Here is a 23,020-nt window from a genome sequence, read left to right as displayed (position 1 = left end):
ATTTTTAGCCTTCCACAGCAAATTTCCTACAATAGCCTTCTCATACCTCCCTGGAATTATATTTCCCCAAAAGGTAATTTGTTCACCTGTTTTTTTTTTTTTTAACAAGTAGAACAGTGAATGCCAAAAATTCATAAGAATCATCATAGATAACTGTTAAAAATACAAAATACCAGTTTCCACCTCTGACTTACTGAATTAAGATCCATGGGAGGAACACAGGGATATTTACCTTTAACAGAACCCCAAGTGTTATCTTGGTTAGATAACTTTAAGATACATTGCAGAAGATCATAGTACTTCTGGTTACACATATGGTGACCATATAGTTTATCATCAAAACAGGACACTTTTGAAAGCTAAGTCAGAGCTATTAACAATTCACTGGCACACCTGGTAAAAAAATACTGGTTATTTGGGGCAATCAGAACATATGGTCATCCGAGTTGTGGATCACCATCTTCCTCCTCACCTACACCCCCTTTTTTAATAATAACTTTGAGATAAAATCCTCAAATTTCTCATACCATGCAATTCATCCACTTAATATGTCCAATTCAACGTTTTTTAGTATATTCAGAGTTTTGCAACCATCACCACAATTAATTGAGAACATTTTCATCATCGCCAAAAGAAACCCCATATCCTTTAGTAGTCACCCCCACTTCCCTTCTTATATGTGGAATCATATAATAAGTGGTCTTTCATGACTGGCTTCTTCCACTTACATAATGTTTTCAAGGTTCATCCCTGTGGTATTGTGTATCAGTACTTCATTCCTTTTTATTGCCAAATAATGTTCCATTATAAAGACATAACACATTATATTTAGCTACTCATCAGTTGATGAATATTTCTACTTTTTAGCTATTATGACTAATGCTGCTATGAACTTTTGTGCACAAGTTATGTGTGAAAGTATGTTTTCATTCCTCTTGGGTATATACCTATGTTCTCCCCCACCACCCCACCCATTTTTTTGTCACCCCTGTGCAATGCGCTTACCTTGGATGACTCTAATAGTTTTCACGAGCCATGAAGAAGAGCAACACATCAGTAAGAAGGACCTAAAAGGTAGAAAATTATGTTACTTAGATCAAAGAGCTATTTTTGTTTTAAAACTACATGTATGCCCTTTTTAGCAATGACCCAAATACTTGTTCAGAAATTAGTGATTGAGAAACAGACCCAGTGAGGGAAGGAATCAGCCTTCAATATCAACAGAAGTCCCTGCTGGGCTACTAAGGGTCCTTGCTTCAGAGTTTAAAGTCATTTATCTATGAGCAGATGGACTAATAAATTGAAGCTAATATAATGGTTCCAAAAAGCTCCTAAGGTCTTTGTTCTCTCACCAAATATTTGCATCCTGTGTCTTGAATAAAAAGTTTTAATTTCTACTTAATAGTTCACTCACTGATGACTTCTTTAATTTGGTCTTTTTCTTTAAAATGTATGACACGGGCAGGCTAAGATTTCAGGAAACGTGTTTAACCTTATAAAGATCAACACATAAGTGTAATGGTCTTATGTGAGGAGAGGCATAGTAAAGTTAGTTGTGTTAAAGTAAAATCAATACCTACAGAAGAGAAAATTAGAAACTGCTGATTTTCTGTCCCTCTTTCTTTTTTCTTGTCAACAGTCTGTGTAGGTTTGGAACTCTAGGAATCATTACATTATAAAACTCCAGGTTTTCATTCTAATGGGTTCCAGGTTTTCCTGTTATGGGGATGAAACTAGCAGACTTAGTAAATCCTTATTTATTTGTCCCAAAGGCCAGGCAATACTCTTTCTTCTCTGATGCTGGTTTCTATTCATTCACCACCTCTTCTCACATTCTTTTGCTGCCCATTATTAATCTTTCAAGCTACAGCTGGGTGGGTTCAGAACAAAACCATCAGAGGAACTGAAAAATGAAATATTTACCTGCACCAATGGGGAAAAAAGGCCTATCAACTTTATCCTTTCAATGCAATCACATTTTGAAAAAATTTATTCTACTCACTTTCTAGATAGAAGACAGGAAGTATACATACACACATATATATATTCACTCTTGGTGTTTATATATATATATATTTTTTTTTACTATCTATCCTCATTTGTAATGAGGTGTAAGATATAGAGCTCAGTTAGTTACCATGGAGACACTGGTCCTCTGTTTCTTATCACAGAGCCACACTATCGTCTGGTGTCAGCCAAGGAGGGATGACAAAAGCCTCCCCAAGAGCCTAGCTCTGCAATTACTGAGCAATCAAGCGCCTCTTTTAATAGAGCACATCCAGGTATACAAGGCTCCTCTCCCAGCACTGTCTAACCTTCTTCCTTTTTGAACTTATACATAGCAGGATGCACTTACCAAATATAGATATATTCCTCTCTTGGATGGCTTGTTTATTTAGGATTTCAATGATATTCTTTGGTTTAAATAACAGAGCTCACTATCATCCTCTTTGTTTTTAAATCTCTAATTTTTTAGCAATTATTTTCTTCTGATGATACAAAGTGATCATCCTTTTATCCATTAATCCATTTTTATGGTTTGTCATAATTAATGAAGTGAAGGAGTGGATAAATGAAAATCACAGTCTCTAAATTTTCTTAGTCCTGAATTTTCCCTAATTTTTCTAACCAAATTGCTAGAGCTATCAACAACAAAAATTTTTTTAACCTCAACAACTAGCATTTATTCTTTGTCAGTGATGATATAAATGAGAAGCTAAATGAATTGAATGCATTTAAGAGGAGAAACAAAAAAGCCTCTTTAATTATTTTTATTTTATTTGGGGGTTGGTTCGACTATTCCAAGGTTTGCTTCTGATGCTCAGATGTTCTAAACTCACTCAGAAATCTGAAGTGAAACAAACACGAAAAAATGCTCAACACCACTAAGCAGAGAAATGCAAATCAAAACCACAATGAGATAGCATCTCAGGCCAGTCAGAATGGCTATTACTAAAAAGTAAAAAACAACAGACGCCAGTGAGGTTGTGGAGAAAACAGAATCCTTATACATAGTTGCTGGGAATATAAATTAGTTCAGCCACTGTGGAAAGCAGTTTGAAGATTTCTCAGAGAACTTAAAATAGACCTACTATTTGACCTAGCAATCCCATTACTGAGTGTATACCCAAAGAAAAATAAATCGTTCAACAAAAAAGATACATGCACTTGTATGTTCATCTCAGCACAACAGCAAAGACATAGAATCAAGCTAGGTGCTCATCAACAGTGGACTGGATAAAGAAAATGTGGTACATATACACCACGAAATACTATGCAGCCATAAAAAAGAACAAAATAATGTCCTATGCAGTAACACGGATGCAGCTGGAGGCCATTATCCTAAGCAAATTAATGCATGAACAGAAACGAAATACCACATGTTCTAACTTATAAGTGGGGGCTAAACAATGGGTACATACGGACATAAAGATGGCAACAACAGACACTGGAGACTCCAAAAGATGGGAGGTGAGGGTGGAATGCTGAAAAACTACCTATTGGGTAGTATACTCACTACCTGGGTGACAATATCAGTGGTACCCAAACCTCAGCATCATACAATATACTCATGTAATAAACCTGCAAATGTACCCCCTGAATCTAAAATAAAAGTTGAAATTAAAAAATAAATAAATTGGGGATGAAATAAGATATAGACTGAGGCATTCAAATTAGCCTGAATCTATTATTGTAGATAGGCTTCTTGCAGTAACAGCTAAGCTTTGCCCCGTGTAGTATCTCTAATGTTACAAAATATACCACTGTCTTTGATTTTGCTCAAGTTATAGAACTCTCACCTGAGAATGTCAGTGTCAGAGGAAAAAACAAAAAAAGGTTATAGAGCTTTGCTAACATACCCTTATTGCCAAGGAAGAAGGAATGTTCAGGTGTTTAAAAAAAGTATGATTATAGTTGGGGTAGGGGAAGATAAAAACAGTGAGATACTATAAATGTATATGACACAATCCCTGCTCTGAGTAAACTTACAATCTAATTGGAGATACAAGCCTTTAATTTATGTACCAGGTTCAGTAATATGAATTAAGTAGCAAAAAGTATGCAACAGCATAAGTGTTGAGTAGCAGGGGATCGATCAAGTCCAGAGTTAGTAAGATTTAGTAGAAGTAAGATTTGAGATTAATTTTGAAGAAAAAAAGCATAATAGACAACAAAAATAGTAGAAGCTAAAATGTAGTAGAAAACTGGTGATGGTCTTCTCAGGGGATTGTGATGTCAGCATTACTGGAGCAAATCATTTTTGAGTTTCAAGAAAACTTCTAGAATCAGTTTAAGTGATGATGTTAGTTTCCTCCTCTAAGACCAATGCCCAAGGTGCATCCCTCTTCCCTTTACTAGGAAGGGTGGAAGCGGTGAGGGAAGGGAAGAGAGGGAAAGAGGGAGAGAGGAAGGGAAGGAAAGAAGAAAAGGAGGAGAGAGAGAGAGGGAAGGAAGAGAGAGGGAGACAGAACAATGACATTAAAAAATGACACAATAAAGAAATGAAAAGCAGAGGTTGCCTTTTTGCAGATGGAGAACAAAGTGGGTTTTCACAGGCAGAATGTGGACACATTCTGTGCTATATAATCCCCATATGCCAGGAATGTCATTAATTAGATAGAAAGGAATGACTGGAGACTGGCCAAATGTAGCTCAGGAGATCAAGGGCTATATACTCAGGCATTTTCACCTATGCTATGGAATCTTTGGTATAGCTACACAGTATGTATAGGCTTTGTCAGAAGATTGACAGGAGCCTGAATTAATACTAGGATTTTAATAAATCATTGATTCCTGGCATTTTTGTTACCAAAAGATGGTCTCATAAACATACAGTGTCTTTGAGCTGGACAATAGAGAAAAAGATATCTGGACAGTGGCATAAGCTGGGGGAGGGGGGATGCCAGCATAAAAGTTTATTAGAACTACTTGAAAAAGTCTGCAGAAAAGGTTTACTGGGAGGTGATTTGAAAGAATAAAGATCTTCATGATAATATAACAGTAAGGACAGGCATGGTAGCTCACACCTGTAATCCCAGCACTTTGGGAGGTGTAGGTGGAAGGATTACTTGAGCCCAGGAGTTTGAAACCAGCCTGGGCAACACAGTGAGATCCCGTCTCTGCAAAAAATACAAGAGTTAGCCAGTAATGATGGTGTGAGCCTGTAGTTCCATCTAGTCAGGATGCTGAGGTAGGAGGATGGTTTGAACCCAGGAGGTTGAGGCTGCAGTGAGCCAAGGTTGTACCACTGCATTCCAGCCTGTGTGAGAGCAAGACCCTGTCTTTAAAAGACAAAGAGTAAGTGCTCCATAAACATTATCTATGTGCCAAGTACTGTGCTAAACGCTTCATGTGCTTGATCTCATGTAATTCTATAAGGTAAATAGTAGTTACCTCCATATATTATAGAGGAGGAAACTGAGGCTCAGGAGAAATTAACTAAGCTGCCCATGATGGCCTGACTCTATTATAACAAAGGCAGTATCTGCTTCAACATATATAATCACTATAGTATCTATTTCTTCAGCGTTTTCCTCTCTTCTATTTCCTTTGATAAGGTTACATGCAAAGGCATTAAAAAATCTGCATTTCCTTTGTAAATTTTGTTAAGAAGGCAAACAAAAATTGAAGAACATATTTCTGAATAAAGAGGGGAAATGGAGACATGGTGCTCGTAGCAAAATACTTCTTAGGACACTAGGGGAAAGTAGTAAAACAGTCAAGATAATTCTCTTCTTTAACATGCTTCATCTAGCTATGTAGAGACTCATGCAAAAACAAAAATAAAAATGTACAAATAAAGAAAAGTTAGTGTATTTGATCTTCCCTCATTCACTTGCCATTCTGCAGGCATGAGATTACAAATTCCAATGAGCTTTGCTCACTTCATAACCTGGTCTTGTCATTCTGGAACATACCAAGCTTCTTCCTATCACAGCATCTTCACACTGCTTGTTCCCTCCACTTAGAATTTACGGCTGACTTCTCAAGAACCGTGTCTCAGTTAAGGTGTTAGTTCAGATTGACTTTTCCTGAACAACCTAGGTAAAATGTTTCTCCTCTTCCCTACTCAAAACCTACCCCCTTCCTCATACACTATCTAAATATCTTGATTTTTCCTCTTCACAGCATGTATCATTACCTGAAGTTATTTTTAATTTTTATTATTTTTTAATAGAAACAGGGTCTCACTGTATTTATTTACCAGGCTGGTCTCAAATTCCTGGCCTCAAGCCATCTTCCCATCTTGGCCTCATAAAGTGCTAGAATTATAGGTGTGAGCAACCATGCCTGGGCTATTTTTTATGTTTTATTTTATGTATAAAAATTTACTCATATGAATATAAAGTTTTATTCATTACTATATCTCTAGTACTTACAAAAGTAGTTGGCACATAGTAAGCACGTAGTAAGTATCTGTTGAATGAATGAATGACCACTATACTTGCCAAAAGGAATAGGGCAAACCTAAAACAGATACATTTGGTAATGCTTCATAATTTAGAAAGTGCTTACATATACTTCAATAGTCAATATCCCACTGGGGACTAATCTGCATATCAACTGGTTATATCAAAACACCTACAAATCAAAGAATTCTATTTGCTATTACAAGTCTTAGTCTTATTTGTATGAAGGCCCTCAGCTCAATTAAAATTCTTGGCATAGTTGTGTGCTTAGTTACTGTCTAAACTCCTTTCAAAGCACTGGTAAGAAGGACTTTCGATAGAATACAGAAGAGCAACAAAATATGTTGTATCAATGAGTTCTGAAGTTTTTATTGCCATTCACAACAGACAAAGTTCCTGCTTTCATCTGCCAAAAATGTCCTTATAAACACTAAGGTTTTTATTTCTGCTTTTCAGACTAGTACAAGTTATACTGCTCTGCACAGCTAGAAGAGAACACCATGGTTAACACATGAAAAATAGCTGGTCAAAGCACGTAACTTTTTTGTTCATAACCCAGAGTTACTTTGAAATTTTCTGGGTATTTGAAGAGAGAATGACATCTAGGGTTGAGAATTCAATCTCATGTTCATACATTTTCTTTGCTGACTTATCCAGGAACTAGGATAAATTCTTTATGGATTTTATCCCATTCCAGTTTCACTGGCCTGGTGTTATCCTGAAGAATTAGCACCTCCATCTCCCACTTGGGGCTTGACAAGAATCAACATATTTGGAATCGGTAGAAGATACAGGTAGCAAACTCTGAACTTTCAGAAGTAATGGCATTTCAAAAACACTGAATTATTGGTGTCCCCTCTACCAAATGATTTTTTGTTTTCATTTGCAGAATGAGGCTTAGGTAAAAAATACCATTAAGAAAATCTTATGTTGGGGCCTGCAGCGGTGGTTCACACCTGTAATCCTAGCACTATGGGAGGGTGAAGTGAGGGGATCACTTGAGGTCAGGAGTTCGAGACCAGCCTGGCCAACATGGTGAAACCCCATCTCTGCTAAAAATACAACTAGCCAGGCATGGTAGCACACGCTGTCATCCCAGTTACTTGGGAGGCTGAGGCAGGAAAATCACTTAACCCCGAAAGGTGGAGGTTTCAGTGAGCTGAGATCACACCACCGAACTCCAGCGTGGACCACAGAGAGAGACTCCATCTCGAAAAAAAAAAAAAAAGCTAAACAAAAATGTTTCCCTTAGTTTTAATTTTAAAATAAGTATTAAAAAAAGAAAATCCTACGTTGAACTTGACAAAGAGATCCCAGGTCCTTTCAGTATCTCCAGTGGGAATTATAATTATTTTTGCTGAACTGATGACTGAAGGTTTTTCCTAGAGTATTTTCTTCTCAACAAGAGGCAGAGACTACAGTTCTCATTGACCTCCATCCATCCAGTTATCTGCTCTTAACTCATCAAACAGTTCTGTCTCATTTCTAGGACATTACACATTGTTTCAGACCTCTTTTCACTATAAGAAATGAAAACAGATGCCTAATTCCTAGGACCTATATGGTGGAAGACAGTCCCGCTCCTGGTGTAGACTCCAGTCACAAGAGTCCTTCTTAACTGACTGAAAACAACTAATCATTCTCTTTTTGTGATTTTATTACTGTGCAAATGTATATCCCATTAGGTATTCATTAACTGATAATTTAAAAGATTTTTGTCTATAAATAGCATGTTTATCTTGGAAACACTGCTAGCAATTTCAGCTTAAAAATTTGCAATGTGGTTCATTTGCCAAAAAAGGGGGTATTTTAAGTAAAATGCAATGTTCAATGCATCACATACAATTATTTTACGAAAGGCTTTTGGTTTTTTTAGCGCCATGTCAGAGCAGTACAAAGTGATAGAAGAAAGCTGATTGGATGAGCACATAGGGCAGTACTTATTGAACTACACATGGGTAAACAATATGGTAAGGAGACCATTAATAAACTCAATAATGGTATCAAGAAATTGCAACAGAATACAGAAAATGGTAGTGCAAGCATGCATCTTTGAAAAGCTATGTAAACATTTGAGATTACCCAAATGAAGTCCCCTCCCTCACTTTGGTAGCATCTAAAGTTAACAAACCCTGGCTTTTGTCCTTCCCCTCCTGTTCTCCATTTTAACAAGCTAGTTTTAAAAAAATGGTTGAGTGTGGTGGCTCATGCCTATAATCTCAGCATTTGGGAGGCCAAGGTGGAGGACTGCTTGAGGTCAGGAGTTTGTGATCAGCCTGGGCAACACAGTGAGACTTTCATCTCTACAATCAATCGAAATATAGAACACAAAAGCAAATAGTAACACAAAGAAGGGAAATCAACAAGATGTGGGAGCATCCAAGAGGTACACATATCAGTAAATGCTAAGTAAAATGAATAAAAGACCAAATTTTGGTCTTTAAATATATTTCTATCTCCATTCTTTAAGTATGTATTCAAGAGATTATCATAATAAATTAGTAACTTATTTTTCAACTTTAATTTCATTAAAAAGGGAGGATGTATAATATTACTGATGGTTAGATAAGCACACTAACTTTTATACAACAAAGTGAATATTTTCCTTTATAGTAATAATTGGGAAATTATACATTTATTCCACCACTAAATGTACTATACATTTTTTTAAAGCAAATCTCCTTTGGAGTGCCTTCAGTATCAGTTTAAAAATCCATAGGAGAAAATTTGTCTCATTACTTTAAAAATCCATCTCTTTCTGTTTTCTTTTTATTTTTTGAGATAGGCTCTCACTTTGTCACTCAGGCCGAAATGCAGTGGCACAATCACAGCTCACTGCAGCCTCAACCTCCCTGGGCTCAGGTGATCCTCCCACCTCAGCCTCCAGAGTAGCTGAGACCACAGGCACATGACATCACAACTGGCTAACTTTTGTACAGAAAGAGTTTTGTACAGACAGAGTTCCACCATGTTGCCCAGGCTGGTCTTGAACTCCTGGGCTCATGTAATCCGCCCACCTCAGCCCCCCTCAAGTGCTGGAATTATAGGCATGAATCATCATGTCTGGCCTCTATTTAAAACAAAAACAAACACAAAAAAACCCCACCTTGGTCACTATACTTATTTCCAAATGACTTTTGATTGTTTCAAAAACAGAGATACCTTTGGTTCAAACACTTGAAAAATATGGCAGGGAGGGGCCAAGATGGCTGACTAGAAACAAGTACGGTCAGAGGCTCCCACTGAAAATGAAAACAAGTGAATCCTGCACGGGCAACTGAGGTATCCAAGTTCTCTCATTGGGACTGACTAGGCAGTTGGCATGACCCACGGAGAGCAAGGAAAAAAGCAGGGTGGAGTGACGGCCCACCTGGGAGCCACACATGGCAAGGAGAACTTCCACCCCCAGCCAAATGAGATGGTGAATGATTGTGCTATTTCGCCCGGGAAACCATGCTTTTCCCACAGATCTGTGCAACCTGTGGATCAGGAGATCCCCTCAGGAACCCATCCCACCAGGGCCTTGGGTCTGTGGAGATTCTCAGTGGTCGCTCAGCTGGAGACTGCCTAAGACTACTGAGTTCCTGGGGGGGAGGGGCAGCAGCCATGACTGCAGCTCCAATCTGCTGTTTTCCCCTGCCTGTGCCAGGGAGACTGGGTAGTTTGGACCCAGTAGGAATTCCCCACAGCACAGCACAGCAGCTGTAGAAGACTGTGGCCAGACTGCCTCTTTAGGCTGGACCCTGACCCATCCCTCCTTGCCAGGCATGGTCTCCCTGTGGGAATTCCAGCAACTCCAGCCAGGGAGTTAGGGACAGAACTCTGATCTCCCTGGGATGGAGCCCCTGGGAGGAAGGGCGGTCGTGATCTCCATGGATCAGTGGACTTAGTCTTTCCCCCTGCTGGCTCTGACAAATCCAGGCAGTCCAGACAAGTGGGATTCCCCCCAGTGCAGTGCAGCCCCTCCAGCAAGGGGCAGCCAGAGTGCTTTGTTAAGCAGGTCCCTGATCCTGTGCCTCCTGACTGGGTGAGAACTCCAAACACGGGTCACCAGACACTTTATACAGGAGCATTCCTGCTGGCATTAGGTCGGTGCCCCTCTGGGATGGGGTTCCCAGAGGAAGGTGCAGGCAGCTATCTTTGCTGTTCTGTAGCCTCCACCAGTGACACCTTCAGGTGCAGGAGAGACCCAGGTGAAAAGGGTCTGGAGTGGACCCTAGGCAAATGGCAGCAGCCCTAAGGAAGAGGGACCTGACTGTTGAAAGAAAAACAAACAAACAGAAAGCAACAACAACATCATCATCATCAAAAAAGTCCCCACAAAAACCCCATCCAAAGGTCAGTAGCCTCAAAGATTGAAGCTAGATAAATTCATGAAGATGAGAAAGAATCAGCGGAAAAACACTGAAAACTCAAAAAGCCAGAGTGCCTATTCTCCTCCAAATAATCACAACACCTCTCCAGTAAGGGCACAGAACTGGGCTGAAGCTGAGATGGATGAACTGACAGAAGTAGGCTTCAGAAGGTGGGTAATAGCGAACTTTGCTGAGCTAAAGGAGCATGTTCTAACCCAATGCAAAGAAGCTAAGAATTATAATAAAACATTACAGGAGTTGTTACCAAGAATAACCAGTTTACAGAGGAATATAAATGACACAATGGAGCTGAAAAACACAAGAGAACTTCACAATGCAACCACAAGTATCAATAGCTGAACAGACCAAGCAGAGGAAAGAATTTCAGAGCTTGAAGACTATCTTGCTGAAATAAGATGGGCAGACAAGATTAGAGTAAAAAGAATGAAAAGGAATGAACAAAACCTCCAATAACTACTGGATTATATACAAAGACTGAACCTATGACTGATTCAGGTTCTCCCCGATCCCTGAAAGAGATGGAGAGAATGGAACCAGAATATCATCCAGGAACACTTCCCCAAGCTAGCAAGACAGAATAACATTCAAATTCAGGAAATCCAGAAAACCCCAGTAAGATACTCCATGAGAAGATCAACCCCAAGACTCATAATCATCAGATTCTCTAAGGTCAAAATGAGGGAAAAAATGTTAAGGGCAGCCAGAGAGAAAGGCCAAGGGAAGCCCATGAGACTAACAGTGGACCTCTCAGCAGAAATGCTGTAAGCTAGAAGAGAGCGGGGGCCAATATTCAACATTCTTAAAGAAAAGAATTTCCAATCCAGAATTTCATGTCCAGCCAAACTAAGCTTCATAAGTGAAGGAGAAATAAAATTCTTTTCAGATAAGCAAATGCTGAGGGAATTCATCACCACCGGGCCTGCCTTGCAAGAGCTCCTGAAGGAAGCTCCTGCCTTGCAAGAGCTCCTGAAGGAAAGGAATTTAGGAATTCCTTTCCTAAATATGGAAAGGAAAAGCCATTACCAGACACTACAAAAAACACACTGAAGTACAAAGACCAATGACACTATGAAGCAACTACATTAACAAGTCTGCAAAATAACCAGCAAGCATCATGATGACAAGATCAAATTCACAATAACAATATTAAACTTAAATGCAAATGGGCTAAATGCTCCGATTAAAAGACCCAGAATGGCAAGCTGGATAGAGTCAAGACCCATTGGTGTGCTGTATTCAAGAGACCCATCTCACAAGCAAAGGTATGCATAGGCTCAAGGAAAATTTACTGAGCAAATGGAAAGCAGAAAAAAGCAGGGGTTGCAATCCTCGTTTCTGACCAAACACACTTTAAACCAACAAAGATTTTTTTTTAAAAGACAAATATTTTTTAAAAAGACAAAGAAGGGCATTACATAATGGTAAAGGGTTCAATTCAACAAGAAGACCTAACTACCCTAAATATATAATTACCCAATACAGGAGCACCCAGATTCATAAAAACAAGTTCTTAGAGACCTACAAAGAAACTTAGATTCCTACACAATAATAGTAGAAGACTTTAACACCCTGCTGTCAATATTAGACAGATGATCAAGACAACAAATTAACAAAGATATTCAGGACTTGAACTCAGCTCTGGATCAAGTGGACCTGATAGATATCTACAGAACTCTCCACCTAAAAACAACAGAATATACATTCTTCTTGCTGCCACATGGCACTTACTCTAAAATCAATCACATGATTGGAAGTAAAACACTCCTCAGCAAATGCAAAAGAACTGAAATCATAACAGTCTCTCAGACCACAGGGCAATCAAGTTGGAACTCAAGATTCAGCAACTCACTCAAAACCACACAACTACACAGAAATTGAATACCCTGTTCATGAATGACTCCTGGGTAAATAATGAAATTAAGGTAGAAATCAAGAAGTTCTTTGAAACCAATGAGAACACAGAGACAATGTACCAGAATCTCTGGGACGCAGCTAAAGCAGTGTTAAGAGAAAAATTTATAGGACTAAATCCCCATATCAAAAAGCTAGAAAGATCTCAAACTGACACCCTACCATTACAACTAAAAGAACTAGAGAACCAAAAGCAAACAAGCCCCAAAACTAGCAGAAGACAAGAAATAACCAAGATGAGAGCAGAAGCGAGCGAGACAGAGACACAAAAACCCTTCACAAAAACCCCCAACAAATCCAGGAGCTTTTTTTAAAAAAAACACCCTAATAAAATAGACTACTATGTAGACTAATAAAGAAGAAAAGAGAGGAGAATCAAATAGACACAATAAAAAATGATAAAGGGAATATCACTACTGACCCCACAGAAATACAAACAATGATCAGAGAATACTATAAACACCTCTATGAAAATAAACTGGAAAATCTAGAAGAAATGGATAAATTCTTGGACACATACACCCTTCCAAGACTGAACCAGGAAGAGGTTGAATACCTGAATAGACCACTAACAAGTTCTGAAATTGAGGCAGCAACAAATAGCCTACCAACTGAAAAAAGCCCAGGACCAGACAGATTTACAGCTGAATTCTACCAGAAGTATAAAGAGAAGCCAGTACCATTTCTTCTGAAACTATTACAGACAATTGAAAAGGAGGGAATTCTCCTTTTCACTGCCGGGAGCAAGGCTGGTTCCACATACACAAACCAATAAATATAATTTATCACAAAACCAGAACTAAAGACAAAAACCACATAATTATCTCAAAAGACATGGAAAAGGCCTTTGATACAATTCAACATCCCTTCATGTTAAAAACTGTCAATAAACTAGATATTGATGGAATATACCTCAAAATAATAAGGTATTATTATTTAATGACATACCCACAACCAATATCATACTGACTGGGCAAAAGCTGGAAGCATTCCCCTTGAAAACCAGCACAAGACAAGGATGGCCTCTCATCACTCCTATTCAACATAGTACTGGAAGTTCCAGCTAGGGCAATCAGGCAAGAGAAAGAAGTAAAGGGTATTCAAATAGGAAGAGAAGAAGTCAAACTGTCTCTGTTTGCAGATGACATGATCCTGTATCTAGAAAACCGCATTGTCTCAGCCCAAAAGCTTCTCAAGCTGACAAGCAACTTTAGGCAAAGTCTCTGCATATAAAATCCATGTGCAAAAATCACAAGCATTCCTATACACCAACAACAGACAAGCAGAGAGCCAAATCATGAATGAACTCCCACTCACAATTGCTACAAAGAGAATACAATACCTAGGAATACAACTAACAAGGAAAGTGAAGGATCTCTTCAAAGAGAACGACAAACCACTGCTCAAGGAAATCAGAGAGTACACAAACAAACGGAAAAACATTCCATACTCATGGATAGGAAGAAACAATATCATGAAAATGACCATACTGCCCAAAGTAATTTATAGAGTCAATGCTATTCCCATCAAACTACCATTGACATACATTCTTCACAGATTTAGAAAAAAAAAAAATCTCCTTTAAATTTCATATGGAACCAAAAAAGTGCCCATATAGCCAAGACAATCATAAGCAAAAAGAACAAAGCTGGAGGCATCACGCTACCTGACTTCAAACTATACTACAAGGCTACATTAACCAAAACAGCATGGTACTGGTACCGAAACAGACACACAGACCAACGGAACACAATAGACAACTCAGAAATAAGACCACACATCTATAACCATCTGATCTTTGACAAACCTGACAAAAACAAGCAATGGAGAAAAGGATTCCCTACTTAATAACTGGTGCTGGGAGAACTGGCTAGCCATATTAAAAAAACTGAAACTGGACCCCTTCCTTACACCTTGTACAAAAATTAAATCCAGATGGATTAAAGTCTTAAACATAAAACCCAAAACTATGAAAACCCTACAAGAAAATCTAGGCAATACCATTCAGGACATAAGCACAGGCAAAGAGTTTATGATGCAGTGGCCAAAAGCAATTGCAACAAAAGCAAAAATTGACAAATGGTATCTAATTAAACTAAAGAGCTTCTGCACAGCAAAAGAAATTATCATCAGAGTGAACAGGCAACCTACAGAGTGGGAGAAATTTTTTTGCAATCTATCCATCTGACAAAGGTCTAATATCCAAAATCTACAAGGAACTTAAATTTACAAGAAAAACACAACCCATCAAAAAGTGGGCAAAAGACATGAATAAACACTTCTCAAAAGAAGACATTTATGTGGTCAACAAACATGAAAAAACACTCAACATCACTGATCATTAGAGAAATGCAAATCAAAACCACAATGAGATATCATCTCACACCAGTCAGAATGGCAATTATTAAAAAGTCAAGAAACAACAAATGCTGGCATGGCTGTGGAGAGAGAACGCATTTACACTGTTGGTGGGAATGTAAATTAGTTCAACCATTGTGGAAGACAGTGTGGCAATTCCTTTCCTCAAAGACCTAGAATCAGAAAAGCCATTTGACCCAGCAATCCCATTACTGGATATATACACAAAGGAATAGAAATCATTCTATTATAAAGATATATGCATGAGTATGTTCACTGCAGCACTATTAATAATAGCAAAGACATGGAATCAACCCAAATGCCCAGCAATGATAGACTAGATAAAGAAAACATGGTACATATACACCATGGAATACTATGCAGCCATAAAAAGGAATGAGATCATGTCCTTTGCAGGGCTATGGACGGGGCTGGAAGCAGTTATCCTCAGCAAACTAATGTAGGAACAGGAAACCAAATACCGCATGTTCTCACTTGTAAGTGGGAGCTGAATAATGAGAATACATGAAAACAGGGAGGGGAACAACACACGCTGGGGCCTGTTGGCAGGGGTGGGGGATGTTTAGGGGAAGGAGTACATCAGGATAAATAGCTAATGCATGCTAGGCTTATTACCTAGGTGATAAGTTGATAGGTACCGCAAACCACCATGGCACATATTTACCTATGTAACAAACCTGTACATCCTGCACATGTATCCTGGAACTTAAAATAAAATAAAAAGTATGTGCATGTTATGGGGACCCTCCAGTGTTTCTTGCATCCACCCCCTCCTTTTCATTCCCATAGCTATTGCTCCAGTGCAATCTGGCATTTCCCCTTCCCAGGATCTCTCTTAACTAGCATCTCTCTCATGATCAACTGTACACAGTAGTGCCAGGATCATACTCTTAAAGTATAACGCCTATCTTTTCACCACCTTGCTCAAAAACCTTCAGTGGCTTCCAGTACAGTAGAGAAGATACTCCACTCTCTCATTTTCTAACACTTACATGGTGCTTGTTATGTGCCAGGCATTGTTTTAGATGTATTATTATATATTATTCCTCATAACAACCCTGTGATGTAGGTACAAATCTTATCCCCATTTTACAGAGAAGAAAACCAAGACACAGTTCAAGTCACTTGTCAAAGGACACGGTATGTTTCAGCACTGAGGTTAGTACCCCGGGACTCTAGCTCCAAAATTCTATCTCCGTTTCTTTTTCTGTCTCACCATTCTCTGACTGAACCAAATGCTTTTCTGCTTTGGGGTCTTTGCTTACAATTTTCTCTTTTCCTGCTATACGCTTCTCCCATATTTTCCTATCTATATCCATCGAGATCTGAAATGCCACCTCTTCCATGATGCTCACCCAGAGACCTTGTCGATTCCACTGTATACATTTATCTGCTATAACACTGTATTTTCTCTTTTTTTTTTTTTGTTTTGGACCGCTGAACTTTTCATTGGCCTCCTGCTCCCCAAAGGGTACCCTGCTTCTGCTGGCTTAAAGTTTCAGAACTTTGGGGTCATTGGTCTCAGACACCACTTTGCCATCCACTATCCGGCAGGTGGTGGTCTTTTGAATGGTTTGCATGGAGTTGCTGCTGTCCAGGGCATCACCAAGATTGAAGTCCTCGCCATCTTCCAGCAGGCAGCGGTAGGTGGCGATCTCATCCTCCAGGTTGACCTTGATGTTCTGCAGGGCCTCATACTCCTCGGCCTGGCGCTACCCCTCTGCCCGGGTCTGTGCCAGCTCTGACTCCAGGTAAAGCAGGATCCCGTTGAGCTGCTCCATCTGCAGGGTGTAGCGGGCCTCCACCTCCCTCAGGCTGTTCTCCAAGCTGGCCTTCAGATTTCTCATTGAGTCCAGGTCAGTCTCCAAGGACTGGACTGTATATCTCAGCTCCGTGAGTGTCGTCTCAGCAGCTCCAACCTTGACGGACTGCGTGGTGACCACCGTGGTGCTCTCCTCAATCTGCTGAGACCAGTACTTGTCCAGCTCCTCTCTGTTCTTCCGAGCCAGCTTGTCATATTGGGCCCAGATGTCTGCCATGATCTTGGCGAGGTCCTGAGATTTGGGGATCTACCTCCAAGGTCAACCCAGAGCTGGCAATCTGGGCTTGTAGGCCTTTTACTTCCTCTCCGTGGTTCTTCTTCATGAAGAGCAGCTCTTCCTTGCGAGCCTTGATCTCTGTCTCCAGCTGCAGCCAAGTGACACTGGTGTCATCAATGACCTTGCAGAGCCCATGGATGTCATTCTCCACAGACTAGTGCACGGCCAGCTCCGTCTCATACTTGACTCTAAAATCATCAGCTGCAAGACGGGCACTGTCAATCTGCAGAACGATGCAGGCATTGTCCACAGTATTTGCGAAGATCTGAGCCCTCAGGTCCTTGATGGTCTGGAAGTAACGGCTCCAGTCTCTGAACTGGGGTCCCTTCTTCTCCAGGTGCTCCCGGATTTTGCTCTCTAGCTTCCAGTTCTCCATCTCCAGGTTCCTCACTGTGTTCAGGTAGGAGGTCAGGCAGTACTTCAGGCTTTGCATGGTCTCCTTCTTGTTCTGGATGCCTCCCATTCTTGCAAGACCCCCAGCCATCCCCGCGGACAGGCCCCCAGACCCCATGCCGCCCCAGAAGCTGGCGGAGTGGGACATGGAGATCCAGGAACCAGAGCCCCTGGTGCCTGCATAGACGCTGGCCATGCTGCTGACTGGCCGGGCACTGTAGCTGGGCGCCTGGACAAAGCCCAGGGACCGGTAGTTGGTGGAGAAGGTGGAGCGAGTGGTGAAGTTCATGCTGTCCACAGAGGAGAGTGAGAGGACAGGACTCAGGCTTTGCCGACGACCTGTATTTTCTAGTATGTTAATTTGAATGTATATTTCTAAGTTATAACTCTTGGAAGAGAACCATTTCTTATTATTCTATTTTTATCTTATTATTTCTCACTGTCCACCTTCAGTACTTATTAACTGTTCCTGACACAAGGGAGACTGCTGTGCAATAGCTCCAACTGCAGTAAATAAGCTAATGGGTGAAATCATGATACTTAAAAAGCACAGGCCAAGTGTAGTTGCTTATCCCTGTAATCCAAACACTTTGGGAGGCCAAGGCGGGAGGATTGCTTGAGGCCAGGAGTTCAAGACCAGCATGGGCAACATAGTGAGAACCCCCATCTCTACAAAAAAAATTGAAATATATATATTATAGACACTAAATAAATATTAATTGACCTGCAAAGATAAGTATATTCAAAAGACTCTAACACAAGCTCTGAGGGCAATTCCAGAACTGTTTTGGACACTGATATAATAAATACATAGGATTCCAAAAGAATCACTTTGAAAATGACCAAAGATTTTCATGGCTTCAACTATTATTGAGTACCTACTACATGCCAAACATAAAAATATGAAAAGACAAAAATAAAAGTCCTGAAGTGTTTAATTAAAATAAAATCACTCTAGCTCCCTCATATTTTTAAGGAGGTCTAAATGATAAAGTATCATTGGGAACTCTGCTGTGGTATAAAAGCCTCTAAAAAACATGCCAACTGGGCACAGATGGGAATAATCATCACTTCAGTGGGAATAATCATCACTAGGAACCCAAAAAAAATTCCCAAAAACAATGGGATATAATGCATATACCCACCACACCCGCTCCACACCCTGCCAGGAATTTGCAGGAAGCCTCATGTTTTGTATATTTTACATATAACAACTACTATGTATGAAATTTGTGGGAATTTGAGATTCCTGGGTAAAAGATGCCATACTTGTTCAAAGTATAAAAAAAAAGATAGCTTCATCTGCCATTAAAAACACAGCTTTAAAAGAAAATTAAACAAAAAGAGGGGAAGAAGGAAATTCGGCTTTAATATATCTATTAAGGGGTATGTTTAAAGCTGAGCTATTTCCTAGATCTCTATATAATATCCTTAGCAGAGAGTCTAGGTTTTTAAGAACTGTAGATTTTTCTTCATTTCCACAGATGTCTGCTTCTATTTTGAGATGTCTGATTCTTCTGATGAAATAAACCCAATCAAAATGTTCATTTTCCTTCAGTTTTTGTTTATTTAATTAACATGATTTTCTACATGATTATAAAGGCCATAATTATATTATCAAATCCCTGTCAAAGTAATAACTTAATGTAAAACGTTAACACTTAGCAGTGTTTAAAACGATATTAAAAAAAAAAAACCCTGTGTATGAATAGGGTGAATTTATTCAGACTATTTCCTCTGGAATGCAAATGAAAATTTTGGCTATGCTTATTTTTTTATTATATATTATTGCAAGGAGAAACAGTTTTTAGCCTTTATGAATAATAAATGTCTATCCCAAACCAAGACCTTTTTCTGATTGGTTTATAACGGACACCAGCTATTATGAATAATAATATGACAAAAGAACACAGGACAAGCAAGGTACACATTACCAGGTAATATTTATAGTTAAAATATTTGAGGATAACACAATCAGAAGTATGGGGCTAAAAGGGATTTCATTAGAATTTTCTCTTCCCTTTGGTTGGAAACACATGCACATAGCCATTCTAAATACATTAAGAATATTCTTTGTTTTTAGCCTCTCAGAGTTAGACAGTCTATCATCCTCTTTTGTCTTCCATGCTGTGTTTGTATGCTCCACTGAAGTAAATTTCTCTTCTTCTGTCCTGAAGATGGAGAGCTGGCAGCCACCTTTCTGTAGCAAGAACCTTTGTGTACTTGAAGACAATGTTTAATCACTCATCAGCCTTATTGTCTCCAGAATAAAAACAAAGTAGAAGGTTTTGTCTTTTGTTTTTTAAGGATGTCAGAGGATATGGTTTATTATTGGCCCATATATAACATTCAAAATCCTTACAAGCATGTGAGGGAAGAGGAAAGGAATACACAAGAATAAAGGTCCAGCAGGCCAGCTGGAATGTAAAAGAAAGGCTAATAGGAAGAAATAAAGAAAACATTCACGGAGAGCTTCAAAAGTAATATTTGAGTGCTTATGATACGCAAGGCATGGTGCAGAGTCCTTTATACAGTTGTCATCATCACCATCATATTAGCTAACACTCACTGAACACATACTTTTGTGTCAGGTACCATTCTAAGTGCTTTTCATGAATGAACTCACATAATCTTCAGGACATCCCAAGGGTGGGGTTATTACTACATTTCAGAAAAGAAACTAAAACATAAGTTCATAATACCTTCATATATTTGGTGCTTTCTATAAGGTTAGACATATTACTTCTTTTTGACAGATAAGAATACTGAGGATCACAGATTAAGTAACATGCTCGACGTCAAAATGGCTAGTAAGTGACAGAGCTGGGATTTAAACCCAGCATTGTCTGATTCCAAAGTAGTTTTTGACTACAGTAAATCTTCACTATCATCAATAGGTTCTTGGAAACTGACTTTAAGTAAAACAAGATATATCAGGTCTTCGAATAACACTGTTATTATAATGTTGATGATTAAAAATTGGTTTATTTGTTGAATCACTTAAAGTCAGTTTTCAAGAACCTCTCAATGATGTTAAGTGAGGACTCACTGTACATGCTTAACTTGATTGAGAGCAGAAAAATAATAATGATGATGACAAGCACGAGCAGTTACAGAGCATGTATTATATGCCAGGCACTGTTTAAAGTGTAACTATTAACATATTTAATCCTCATAACAATCCTATGAGAATGAGTACTATTATTATTTCCATTTCACAAATGAGGAAACTGAGACACAGAGAGACTAATGTACTTAGTGTTATTCAGCTGCCAATTAGGAAATCGGGCCTCAAATCCAGTTCCAGAGCCATGCTCTTACTAAAGCACTATTAAAATATATAATGAAAGCAACTGTTTGGGATACTAAGAATGGTCTCCCAGGTAAATATACATTGACACTATTATATAGCTAATATTTACTGAGTGCTTACTAAACTCTTCTAATAGACATTGTAATGTGCCACCCAACTCCCCCTAAAATAAAGAATAAAGGATTTATTTCCACAGCTAAAAAGACTGCTAAAAGACGACACCCCTTAGTTGTTGTCAGCTCCCAGGAAGCTGAAAAAAACCTGCCTCAGTGTTGGCTGAGGTCTTTGTTGGAATGCACCGCAGCTCACCTTCCACAGGTATTGACAGCACCCCCTAATAAATACACTGAATGTTAATCTCAGGTCTGCTTCTCTAGGAAAGCAACCTGTGACAATACTTAATCTCATTTAACTTACATGATCCTATACATTAAGTGTTATTATCCTCATATATTCATTTTACGAATTAAGACACTCAAGCTTAAATCGTCCAAGGTCACAGAGCTAGTCAAGGATGGAGTCAGAACTTGAACTGAGATTGTCTAATTCGGAGGCTACACTCTCAACATCTGTGTGATTGCAGAGGAAAAGACTTCAGTAAGTGAGACCTATCATTGGTTTAGTATGTATTTTTTGTTTAAAGTAGAGGTAAGAATAGTAGTTGGAATGACCTGAAATGCAAACAAGGTCTCCTGAAACAATTTTTCCTCTAGGCCTTCTACAACTTATTTCTTGGGAAGAAACAACTGAGGACAAAGTTGCCATATGATAGGGAAGAGGAAGATATTCAATTAAAAATATACCCTTATATATTAAATTACCTTGAATTCGAAGATAAAGGTTTCACTCTCCAATATGAAATGGTTATCATTTAATACATCTGTGTAGCATCTTTCCTCATATGAAGGAATTTGAAAACATAAAATGCCAGCATGTGGCCCTAACTTTAACAAGAAGTTACAGTATGCTATCTGTCTATAATATCCTAAAAATATGGAGTAGTGTTAAAAAGTAAGATGGAATGAGACGGCTTGAGGTGGCATAGAGCCATAGCTTTTGCCTCAGTTATGATGGTATACAATCACAGATTTTATCCAGTGTTGTAAATTTCCTGGTGCTTTTCTCCATCTTTATTGCTTTTTCCAGGATAGAATGATTCAAGACATATACAAATCTCTTCACTCATGTAGGCTTAAATTGTGTGGAATCCACTTTTTAAAATTACACTTTTTTGTAATTGCCCATTATTTCCAGTGGAGAAAAGGGAAAATTTGCAACTAAAAAAAATCCAAATATTAAATGTATCCTCTCAGTATTTGTATGTTCTGGGTACATCTTTGATTTCACTTAAAATATAGAGTAAATAAAAAATATACCCAGACATAAGAGGGCCTGAAAAATCCAGTTCAGAGAAAATGAGATGCAGTTAGCAAAGATTACATGCATCAATGAACTGTACTAAATTGAACACTTTTAAATGCCAGAGATTTTCCCCGTGAAACTGGGGAGTTTGAAAGAAAAATCAATAATGTTGGGGAAGGGAAACCTTCTTCACACACCTCTAATTAGTCATAGCAGAATCTGGTGGATTTCCATATTATGACTCGATCAAACTTGCGAAATTGGTTTTGATCCCAGACTCATTTGGTACATCTTCCAGAAGAAGCTCCACTCCAGACAATGAAAGGTTTTTTCAACCTTGAATGAGCCTCAAGATCACTCGTTCAGTTTGTACCCATCCTATATTATGTTCAGTATCTGTATAATGTTGACAACAGCAATCTCCCTGGGATTACCCTGTAAAAGCTCCATTTCTAAGAACAGGCAAAGTATCTTCAAACTGGCTGGCTTCAAGTTTAGCATGAGCCTTCAAAATCTATATTAGTAAGTGAAACCAGGCATAAAGAGGCACACTTCTTCAGATCTTTCATTTTTTAATAAATCGAATAAATATTGGCCATATTGTTTATATTAGGGCATGCAATGCACCCTTCTGTAAAGTCATTGCTTGAGTCTAACAATGGAGTAGGTAAAAGGTTTCTGTGTTTTTCTGCATAATCAATACCAAACCTGCTGATGCAAATTTATCTGAACTCCAGGGAACATATCCTTTGAAGTTCTGGGAAAATTTTAAATATT

General features: G+C 38.8%; 1 long non-coding RNA gene and 1 pseudogene across 4 annotated transcripts in view, besides 1 other annotated feature; both read right to left on the bottom strand.

Annotated features, from left to right (window-relative positions):
- ZFHX3-AS1 (ZFHX3 antisense RNA 1) overlaps nucleotides 1–23,020 on the bottom strand; it is a 156,522-nt gene that overhangs the window by 75,183 nt on the left and 58,319 nt on the right. For all 4 annotated transcript variants that reach the window (NR_171702.1, NR_171703.1, NR_171704.1 and 1 more), the window contains one exon: nucleotides 1,006–1,067. This is a non-coding gene — a long non-coding RNA (ZFHX3 antisense RNA 1). The remainder of the gene's footprint in view (nucleotides 1–1,005; nucleotides 1,068–23,020) is intronic.
- Nucleotides 10,105–10,686: an enhancer, noted in NCBI's record as "H3K27ac-H3K4me1 hESC enhancer chr16:72769685-72770266 (GRCh37/hg19 assembly coordinates)". NCBI's record gives its function as "activates a minimal SCP1, AML or CMV promoter by ChIP-STARR-seq in naive H9 embryonic stem cells {active_cell/tissue: H9 hESC(naive)}" and the evidence as "EXISTENCE:reporter gene assay evidence [ECO:0000049][PMID:30033119]".
- On the bottom strand, nucleotides 16,509–17,907 carry KRT18P18 (keratin 18 pseudogene 18; annotated as a pseudogene).

Source organism: Homo sapiens, chromosome 16 (assembly GCF_000001405.40).
Source record: "Homo sapiens chromosome 16, GRCh38.p14 Primary Assembly".
NCBI lineage: Eukaryota > Metazoa > Chordata > Mammalia > Primates > Hominidae > Homo > Homo sapiens.
Note: the sequence above shows the minus strand (reverse complement) of the source record. Positions and strands in the feature narration are given on the sequence as shown.